The sequence below is a fragment of the Homo sapiens genome, chromosome 16 (assembly GCF_000001405.40).
Source record: "Homo sapiens chromosome 16, GRCh38.p14 Primary Assembly".
In the NCBI taxonomy this organism is placed as follows: Eukaryota; Metazoa; Chordata; class Mammalia; order Primates; family Hominidae; genus Homo; species Homo sapiens.
In genome coordinates, this window is record NC_000016.10 from 48,018,154 (window position 1) to 48,029,220 (window position 11,067).

At 44.9% G+C, this 11,067-nt stretch overlaps 1 annotated feature.

Moving 5' to 3' along the window:
* Window positions 3,080–3,689: an enhancer, noted in NCBI's record as "H3K27ac-H3K4me1 hESC enhancer chr16:48055144-48055753 (GRCh37/hg19 assembly coordinates)". NCBI's record gives its function as "activates a minimal SCP1, AML or CMV promoter by ChIP-STARR-seq in naive H9 embryonic stem cells {active_cell/tissue: H9 hESC(naive)}" and the evidence as "EXISTENCE:reporter gene assay evidence [ECO:0000049][PMID:30033119]".

An 11,067-nucleotide genomic window follows, 5' to 3' on the forward strand; every position in this document is an offset into this window, starting at 1 on the left:
GTCTATTCAGAGATTCAACTTCTTCCTGGCTTAGTCTTGGGAGAGTGTATGTGTCGAGGAATTTATCCATTTCTTCTAGATTTTCTAGTTTATTTGGGTAGAGGTGTTTGTAGTATTCTCTGATGGTAGTTTGTATTTCTGTGGGATCAGTGGTGATATCCCCTTTATCATTTTTTATTGTGGCTATTTGATTCTTCTCTCTTTTTTTCTTTATTAGTCTTGCTAGCGGTCTATCAATTTTGTTGATCCTTTCAAAAAACCAGCTCCTGGATTCATTGATTTTTTGAAGGGTTTTTTGTGTCTCTATTTCCTTCAGTTCTGCTCTGATTTTAGTTATTTCTTGCCTTCTGCTAGCTTTTGAATGTGTTTGCTCTTGCTTTTCTAGTTCTTTTAATTGTGATGTTAGGATGTCAATTCTGGATCTTTCCTGCTTTCTCTTGTGGGCATTTAGTGCTATAAATTTCCCTCTACACACTGCTTTGAATGCGTCCCAGAGATTCTGGTATGTTGTGTCTTTGTTCTCATTGGTTTCAAAGAACATCTTTATTTCTGCCTTCATTTCGTTATGTACCCAGTAGTCATTCAGGAGCAGGTTGTTCAGTTTCCATGTAGTTGAGTGGCTTTGAGTGAGATTCTTAATCCTGAGTTCTAGTTTGATTGCACTGTGGTCTGAGAGATAGTTTGTTATAATTTCTGTTCTTTTACATTTGCTGAGGAGAGCTTTACTTCCAACTATGTGGTCAATTTTGGAATAGGTGTGGTGTGGTGCTGAAAAAAATGTATATTCTGTTGATTTGGGGTGGAGAGTTCTGCAGATGTCTATTAGGTCCACTTGGTGCAGAGCTGAGTTCAATTCCTGGGTATCCTTGTTGACTTTCTGTCTCGTTGATCTGTCTAATGTTGACAGTGGGGTGTTAAAGTCTCCCATTATTAATGTGTGGGAGTCTAAGTCTCTTTGTAGGTCACTCAGGACTTGCTTTATGAATCTGGGTGCTCCTGTATTGGGTGCATATATATTTAGGATAGTTAGCTCTTCTTGTTGAATTGATCCCTTTACCATTATGTAATGGCCTTCTTTGTCTCTTTTAATCTTTGTTGGTTTAAAGACTGTTTTATCAGAGACTAGGATTGCAACCCCTGCCTTTTTTTGTTTTCCATTTGCTTGGTAGATCTTCCTCCATCCTTTTATTTTGAGCCTATGTGTGTCTCTGCACGTGAGATGGGTTTCCTGAATACAGCACACTGATGGGTCTTGACTCTTTATCCAACTTGCCAGTCTGTGTCTTTTAATTGGAGAATTTAGTCCATTTACATTTAAAGTTAATATTGTTATGTGTGAATTTGATCCTGTCATTATGATATTAGCTGGCGATTTTGCTCGTTAGTTGATGCAGTTTCTTCCTAGTCTCGACGGTCTTTACATTTTGGCATGATTTTGCAGCAGCTGGTACCGGTTGTTCCTTTCCATGTTTAGCGCTTCCTTCAGGAGCTCTTTTAGGGCAGGCCTGGTGGTGACAAAATCTCTCAGCATTTGCTTGTCTGTAAAGGATTTTATTTCTCCTTCACTTATGAAGCTTAGTTTGGCTGGATATGAAATTCTGGGTTGAAAATTCTTTTCTTTAAGAATGTTGAATATTGGCCCCCACTCTCTTCTGGCTTGTAGGGTTTCTGCCGAGAGATTCGCTGTTAGTCTGATGGGCTTCCCTTTGAGGGTAACCCGACCTTTCTCTCTGGCTGCCCTTAACATTTTTTCCTTCATTTCAACTTTGGTGAATCTGACAATTATGTGTCTTGGAGTTGCTCTTCTCGGGGAGTATCTTTGTGGCGTTCTCTGTATTTCCTGAATCTGAACGTTGGCCTGCCTTGCTAGATTGGGGAAGTTCTCCTGGATAATATCCTGCAGAGTGTTTTCCAACTTGGTTCCATTCTCCCTGTCACTTTCAGGTACACCAATCAGACGTAGATTTGGTCTTTTCACATAGTCCCATATTTCTTGGAGGCTTTGCTCATTTCTTTTTATTCTTTTTTCTCTAAACTTCCCTTCTCGCTTCATTTCATTCATTTCATCTTCCATTGCTGATACCCTTTCTTCCAGTTGATCGCATCGGCTCCTGAGGCTTCTGCATTCTTCACGTAGTTCTTGAGCCTTGGTTTTCAGCTCCATCAGCTCCTTTAACCACTTCTCTGTATTGGTTATTCTAGTTATACATTCTTCTAAATTTTTTTCAAAGTTTTCAACTTCTTTGCCTTTGGTTTGAATGTCCTCCCGTAGCTCAGAGTAATTTGATCGTCTGAAGCCTTCTCTCAGCTCATCAAAGTCATTCTCCATCCAGCTTTGTTCTGTTGCTGGTGAGGAACTGCGTTCCTTTGGAGGAGGAGAGACGCTCTGCGTTTTAGAGTTTCCAGTTTTTCTGTTCTGTTTTTTCCCCATCTTTGTGGTTTTATCTACTTTTGGTCTTTGATGATGGTGATGTACAGATGGGTTTTCGGTGTGGATGTCCTTTCTGTTTGTTAGTTTTCCTCCTAACAGACAGGACCCTCAGCTGCAGGTCTGTTGGAATACCCTGCCGTGTGGGGTGTCAGTGTGCCCCTGCTGGGGAGTGCCTCCCAATTAGGCTGCTCGGGGGTCAGGGGTCAGGGACCCACTTGAGGAGGCAGTGTGCCAGTTCTCAGATCTCCAGCTGCGTGCTGGGAGAACCACTGCTTTCTTCAAAGCTGTCAGGCAGGGACATTTAAGTCTGCAGAGGTTACTGCTGTCTTTTTGTTTGTCTGTGCCCTGCCCCCAGAGGTGGAGCCTACAGTGGCAGGCAGGCCTCCTGGAGCTGTGGTGGGCTCCACCCAGTTCGAGCTTCCCGGCTGCTTTGTTTACCTAAGCAAGCCTGGGCAATGGTGGGCGCCCCTCCCCCAGCCTCGCTGCTGCCTTGCAGTTTGATCTCAGACTGCTGTGCTAGCAATCAGCGAGACTCCATGGGCGTAGGACCCTCCGAGCCAGGTGTGGGATATAGTCTCGTGGTGCGCCGTTTTTTAAGCCAGTCTGAAAAGCGCAATATTCGGGTGGGAGTGACCCGATTTTCCAGGTGCGTCTGTCACCCCTTTCTTTGACTCGGAAAGGGAACCCCCTGACCCCTTGCGCTTCCCAGGTAAGGCAATGCCTCGCCCTGCTTCGGCTCGCGCACGGTGCGCGCACCCACTGGCCTGCGCCCACTGTCTGGCACTCCCTAGTGAGATGAACCCGGTACCTCAGATGGAAATGCAGAAATCACCCGTCTTCTGCGTCGCTCACGCTGGGAGCTGTAGACCGGAGCTGTTCCTATTCGGCCATCTTGGCTCCTCCCCGAGAATCCTCCATTCTTATAAGTGGGAAACAGGCCTCTACCTTCCACTAAATAAGCCAGAATCTCGATTTTCTTATCTGTAAAATGATGATAATCATAATCGTCCCTGCCTTACAGTGTTATTGTGAGAACCAAGTCACCAAATTGATGAAAAGCTCTAAATCCCATCCTACAGTTACCCCCTAGTAGATGTTAACTGTTATGATGATCACTAACAATAGTGAGAACGAATGAGTGCTAGTTTATGCCAAGCACTGTGCTAAGCACTTCACTTGAAGTGTGGGCTTTAGTTCTTGCAGTAACCCCAAGAGGAGGTGCCGTTGTTGTTCTGTACTAGTGTGCAGATGAGGAGCTGGGTAAAAGCACCCCTAAGGGAGCAAAAATTGGCTCCTGGTTGGGGGGGGGTAAATGCAAGAAAATCACCCTTTTTATGGATAAAGCACAGAAAGACATATAGTCCATAAACGACTGTACAGTGGAGCTGCGCTATTAACATTTAATGAGCAGGGGGAGGTGGAAGGCAATAGGGGAAAAATGTCTGCAAAACCTCTTTAGAAAGGTGATGATGAAAACAGGGTTGAGAAATCGGAAATCAGATGGAAGGTTTGGGAAGCCAAATTGCAGGCAGATCCATCCCCAGCCCATACTGCGTGCAAGTAATCAAGGCTAGAACTTCTAAACTCGCATCCTTTCACCCAACCCCAAGATCAAGAACCGGCAGGGAGAACCAAACCTTCCCATGGTGACCTTGGAAGAAATGAGCCCAACATCTAGGAAATTACTTTGAACTTAGAAGAAAGGTTCCATGCAGACCCAGAGGGTGGTTGTTATTCTTGACACCAATGGTGCAGTCCCAGATTGTCCTGGGAATCAAGTCCCAAGCTTTTCTTTGGCCTGTGAAAGGACAGGGGAGCACAGGCCTGGGGGACAGAGCCTGTAGATGCCTACCCTGATCTCTGTGAGAAGCTGAGAGCCAGCTAATGGCACGGGTGAGTTTAGGTCTTGGTTAGCCCTCGGATGTCTGGGGAAAGGCTGACAGGGCTAAATCCTCCTGGAAACACTTCCCAAAGGACTGAAAGCTTTTCCATCCCTATCGCCTTAGCTGCTAACCTCTGGGCACTGAGCTTCTAATTGGAGGAAGGGGTACCGTGAGGGCTGGCAGGCTGCAGCCGTAAGATGGGAAACTCCACTGGAGCTGCAATGATGGTCGCAGAATGACTAATTCCTGCCACCCCACCCCCATGTATGTGAACAAAACCATTCAGCAAAAGTAAAAATCAACCAGGAACTTACTTACAGGCAACATTTTACAATATACTAAGTCATTTTATATCCATCATAGCCATGAGACATCATTGCCATCAATATTATTATAATTAGAAAAGTCAGGGAAGAGGGACAGCAGAACCTCAGCTCAAAACAGCTAGGGGTTTTTCTCCAGAGGGACCCGGTAGACTAGAGACTTTCAAACTGTTTTTGGTTGTGACTAAACTTGGAGATACATTTTACATTGTAAACAGGTACGTGCACATGTGTATATGTCAAACTAAATAAAAGTGTTCTGAAATAATACTTGTCCTTCATGTGAACCATGTGCTTCAATGTTTTCTATGATAGTTGAGGGTAGACTATTTTTAAGGTGCTCATGATCCCCTAAAACGATTTCATGGGTCACAAGTCATCATGGGTCACAAGTCTAGATTCAAACCACACTGTCAATGAATACCAGTTACTCCCTAAGACAGTGAGACCCAGGAGGAAAGAATCTGGATTCTGTGGTCAGAACTCTGTGGTCCAAGCTCCAAAATTAACAGTCACTGCTGTGGAGATTTCAGCCAAGTTCTTCACTTCTCTAATCCAGATGTTCCTCACTAGCCAGTTGGGAATAATGTGTGTAGGACCCAGCCCCAAAGACTGCTTTGAATGTGCAGTGAAATAATGCCTATGAGGCACTCATCACATGCTTGACATACAGAAAGCAGCCACTGCATTGTTATTGTCATCACTATTACTGTTGCTATTGTGGTTGTGTTGCCTTTAATGAATATAGAAGGTGGCACGTGCACCAAATTGTGGTCATTTGGGAACTCAAGGCTGGATAAAGCAGAGGTAGAAATAAAGCCCGGCCCAAAGAGAGAGGAAGATGTGTCCCAGTAAAAAGCAAGAACAAGGAAAGCATCCTAGATGAAGAGAGACATGATGAGGAGCCCCAGGGTGGATGAACGGAAGGGGTTGTTATCCCCACCACAAGGCTGTGTGTGTGTGTGTGTGTGTGTGTGTGTGTGTGTGTGTGTGTGTGTGTGAAAGAAAGAGAATGAGAGAGGAGAGAGAGCAGAGAGAGAGGTGGGTGTGTGGGAAATATTTGGCTTCAGAAATCCTCACATACAAAATATTTTTCTTTTGTTGCAGGAGTCCCAGGCCTGTTTGTTTGTAGATGGCAGCAAGTTGCAAAACAAATTCCAGAAGAGACTGCTATGGCCCAGGCAAACCTGGAAGCTTGTAATGCACTAATCGAAAATTATACACTTCATTTTCTGACTGCCAACTCCTGTCCAAAGATTATCTTAAATACAGTTCTGGGTGCACAGCTTGCCTGACTCCTGACTCACAGGCTGTGTTTAGTGAGCAGCCGAAATTGTTGGTGAACCTGCAAAAATAGCCAGTTCGACCTGCAAATCACTGCGTTCAGGCCAGAAGCTGCATGCCAGGCCCTCGCCTCTGCCCTCACCCCACAGGACAGATAGTCCAGGTGCTCCTAGGAGCCAGGCTGTCAGAGAGTGTGAGTGTGCATGCATGGGTGTGCATGTGTGAATGAATGTGTGTACATGTGCTCTCACATGCCCACGTGGAGAGCAGCAAAAACAAATGGCTCCCAGGAGCAGTGAAGGAGGAGGCTGTTTTTCACTGAGTGAGGTGGTTGCTGCTTGTACCTGAGACCCAGGACTGGAAAGGAAGAACCAAAAATCCCGATGATCATCGTCATCATAGTAATATAAAAAGGACCAGCATTTGTTGAGTAATTACTTGGAGCCAGGCACTGTGCTAAACTCTTTAATTGAAAAAACACATTTACTCTTCCCAACAACTGTATGAGACAGCTGTTACTATCACACCCACTTTACAGAAGAGGAATCTGGGGCTCAGAGAAGTGAAGCAGCCAGCCCAAGGTCAAGCGCCTGGTCAGTGGCCGAGCAAGGATTTGGACAATTTGACTGAAAGCATCGTCTTCAGGGAGGCAGCCGACAGATGCGTTTTCCATCTGGGAGAAGGTGGTTTTTCTGAACTGGGCTCAGAGCTGTTCCAGGTTCCATCCTGAGATGCAAAGAGGTTGCTGACACCTTCAGGCAGGTTCCAGTGGTGGGGCAGGCAAGGAGGAGAGCTAGCACAGCTTGCTTGAATGCTGTCCTTCCAATAAGCACAAAGAGGGCAATATCTGAGCTGGAATGGCTCTTTGGCTTCTCAGATAGGGACAAAATTGAGACCCAGGAAGGGAAAGTCACTTGCTCAGGGGCACACAGCAAGTAAGTGGCTAAGCCGAGATGAGAATCTACGTTGACAGACTCCCAGTCTAGAATGTTCCCAGCAACATAATAAACATGGATTAAGTATGTATCATCCACAAGAAACTGTGCTAAGTATGTGGTATTAGCTCAGTTATTTCTCACAACAATCTGTTATGTCCTATTATGATCCCTATTTTACAGAGGGGGAAGAGATGGCACAGAGAGGTTGAGCAACTTTCTCGAGATGGCACAGCCAGGAAATGCGCTATGTCCTTCATAGCCAAAGTAGGAGCTATTGTCCTACCCTGTTACCCTCCCATCTCATTTGTCCACAACTGCCTGTTCTCTCCCTACCCCTACCTGCTTCCTGAAGAAACCACATGGTTCTCTCCTGGCCTTGATCTCAAGGAGTTTGGTCTGGACTGGGTGTAGAAGGAAGCCCAGAAGACTCTAAACAGATGCAGTTGTCCCCATTCCTCATCAAGCTGTGTATGGCCGGCCACCCAGTGACCTCAAAGCCAATGTCAACCGGATCTGATAGGCTCAGCTACATGTGTAGCTGGGCGTAGCTCTGGGACTCATCTGTAAGACGTGACTAACAGCTTCACACCCTCCAAAGCATTCCATTTTGAATCAGGTGTCACCTGAGATGGAAAAGGCTTTTGTTTAATTTGGGTTATCTGGGTGGCAGTTGTATTTTTTTTTTAACTTCACTCTACCCTTTTTTATAGCTGTAGATAATCTTTCTTTCTGTAGACAGGCCGAGAAATGTAACCATATTTATGGGTCAGGCTTTGCACACAGTCATCATTCAGAGAGTGGAGACAGAGCAGTAACTCTCTGGGCAGGGATGGCACCCTTGTGGGCTCTATTTTTTCTCCCCAGAGCTCATGGAGTGGAGGGTGGGTGAAGGCGACACCTTCAAGAGGAGAATAGAAAATGAGATTTTAGCCCAGGTACAAGGAGAGCAAAAACAGAATGAGAAGGAGTGTGTGGAGGCTGAGGACAGACCTGGGAGAGGTGTTTAATGACGTCTCACCTGCCTCAGTGTTTGACCTGCCCAGTGCAGGAGACAGAAGCAAAAGGTTCCTTCAGGCCTCAGGCTCTGGAGACAGACACTTGAGCTAGAATCACGATGATTAACTTACTAGCCATGCTACTCTGAGCAAGTGACTTAGCTTCTCTAGCTCTCCATTTCCTCAGCTACAAAATGAAGATGTTAAAAACGCACCATGGGATTATTACAAAGATATGTAACTTGAGCATTGTGCCTGGTGCACCAGGAGTATTCAAAAATGTTAGGTGTTATTTGCATGCACGTGGATGAGATTCAGAACATCATGCTGAGTGAAAGAAGCCAGACACAAAGCAGGGCATTGGTTTCAAATTACAGAAGAGACAAAACTAGACTATGGTAAAAGAAATCACAACAGTGGTTATCACTGAGGTGGGAGATGGGGAGGCGTTGACTAGGAAGGGGTGCAAAGGATCTCCCTTGGGTGATGGTACTGTTCTGTCTCGATAGAGATGTGCATGCATTGAACTGCATGCTTAAGATCTGTAAATGTTACTATATATAAATTATACTCCCATAAAAAATTATCAGAGAAAAACAGAATTATTATTCTATTTATGCTTAACATTTTGTGTCCCAGTATAACGTCCTTTTTTTGTTTTAAATAAACAACAGGAAAAAAAATTTATTTCTCACAGTTCTAGAGGCTGAGAAGTCCAAGATCAAGGTACCAGCATTTGGCATCTGGTGAGGGCCTTCTTGCTGTGTACTCCAGAGGGAAGGAGTGCTATGTCCTTACATGGCAGAAGGCAGAAGGCAAGAGAGCCAGGCCTGCATGAAGCCTCTTTTAGAGGGGGCTTAATTTCATTCATGAGGAGATCATCATGACCTAATCACCTCTTAAGGGCTCTACTTCTTAATATCTTTACATTGGCAATTAAGTTTCAACACCTGAATTTTGGAGGGGACACATTCAAACCATAGTACACAGTGTGCTCAGAGAGTAGGGAACATGAAGGGAGAGGCTAGCAGGCCTGTGTTGTCCTGGAGGCAATGTGGCACTTTACAAGGTATGTGGATAAATAATGCTCAGAGTTGCATCTCAGAAAAGTAATGTAGGAGCACAGAGGATTGATTGGAAAGGGAAAGACTGGGGTATGTAACAGTCCAGGGAAAAGATGGTGATGGCCTGGACAGAGTGTTTTCCTTGCTTCCCATGCGGCTAACACAGCCCTCTTCTGATCACCTGGGCACATCCCTGGCACGTATCTAATCAAACTCACACTCACATAACCAGAACAGAGTGCAACTTGAATTCTCAGACTTCCTACACTGGACTTCCAGATCCTAAAAGGGAGACCTGAAGCATGCCCCATACTCACAAATGTGTTGTTGAATGAGCATGAACAAGTGAAGAGATAAGTGAATGCATGTCACGCACACATGCACAGGGAAGCACAGATAAGAGACGCATCCAAAGAGTAAGGTGACCTAGAGGTATGTTACAGACCAAGTCTGGGTCTATGCACAGACCTGCCTGATTCCAACAAGACCAATAGTGTCTAGCATTTAGTGGGAACCTACTCTACACATGTATACAAATTCCACTTAAATTCCCCCAGAGTAGGTGTATATTTTATTTCTGATAGAAAATTGGAGAGCATCTCCTAACCCCACATTTCACTGAGGCAGAAATCAGTCCAAGGCTCATATCTAATACATGAATAAATGAGCTCATTCATTCTTTGCTCACAAGTAACTGGGACTAGAGGAGCATGCCATCACACCTGGCTAATTAAAAAAAAATTTTTTTTTAGAGACAGGGTCTCACTATGCTGTCCAGGCTGGTCCCAAACTCCTGGCTTCAACTGATCCTCCTGTCTCAGTCTTTCCTTTTTAAAGGCAACCTCAATTAGTTTCAAAAATCCTCCTCTTATCTGTTTTGTTATTAAAGAAAATCCAATTTCTTAATGAGGAATCCTTCAGTGGTGGACACCAAGCTAGATTAAACATAAAGAGGGATGCATTGACTCTCTTAGCTGGAAAGTCCAGGGATAGTTTGGCTTCAGGAACAGCTGGATTCAGAGGCTCTCTTCGTCTCCCAACCTACTTTCCATCACATCGTCCTCATCCTCGGGGAGCTTTCCTGTGCGTGGTGGCCAGAGGGCTGTTGTGGCTCTGGACTTACCAACCAGCAGGTCAGCACAAGAGTGGGGGCCTCTTTGTGGGCCACTTCTGTAAAACCCTCGGGTTGATTGATGAGTCTTATTGGATGGGGAATGAGAGAAGGGTTTTCCAAAGAGCCATCAGTCAAAAATGGTGTAGTTTCAGGAGGCATTTTTATTGTTGTGACTGCTGATCTTGTTATCAAACCCTCCAACCAGTACAAGTAAATGAATAGACTGAATTGAATTGAGAACCAACCCAAGCAAAATTGAATAAATTTCAAACCATCAGTGGTCTTTTTAGGTGAGACAATACTTGAACTGTCCTAAGCTCCAAGCTAAGAATTAAAGGACATTGTTTCTTATTGGTGTCTCTGCTGCCTCGTTTCTCTGTCCTGATATCTCTTCTCCAGTCATGCACTACCTTCAGGTGTTTGGAGACCCTCATTTGGGGGCCAAAATAACATTGCAGTTTTGACACCAGGTAAGTTTTACTCTCTTTTCCTTCTAAGACAAGACACATATTACATACCCTAAGGATATTTTCACCCTTAAAAAGTCTCTCTAGGTTCAATACTGATTGTCTTCCCCCTACTCACTGAGTATAGTTGTTTTTACTCCTCCTGATGAGTGTGACAAGTGTGTGACCTTGGGATGTCATTAACTTCTCTAAAAAGGGGAAGACTTTATCTTTCCAGCATGCCTCATGGGATCATAAGATCCAGAGAAGCTAATGCAAGTGAAGATATTTTGAAAATCACAAGTCCTTGGAGTAAGAGTTACAAGAAGGAATTTCAAATGTACAGACAGAAAGACCCTCATCTTGACCCTTAGCCCCCTGCAGGCTGCCAAGGTGGGTTTTGTTGGCTATGGCCCTGAAGGAGAAACTTGCTGAAGGAGAAACTTGCTGTCCTTATAAGCCCCAACCCAAGACTGAGCAGAAAGATGTTCATTTAACTCTGTTGGGGCCAGGGTGGGGGGTGGGTTGTGGCCTTGAAAACCCTGCCACTCCCCATGCCCTCTGTCCAGCTCCTACAAGGTCCTTTAAC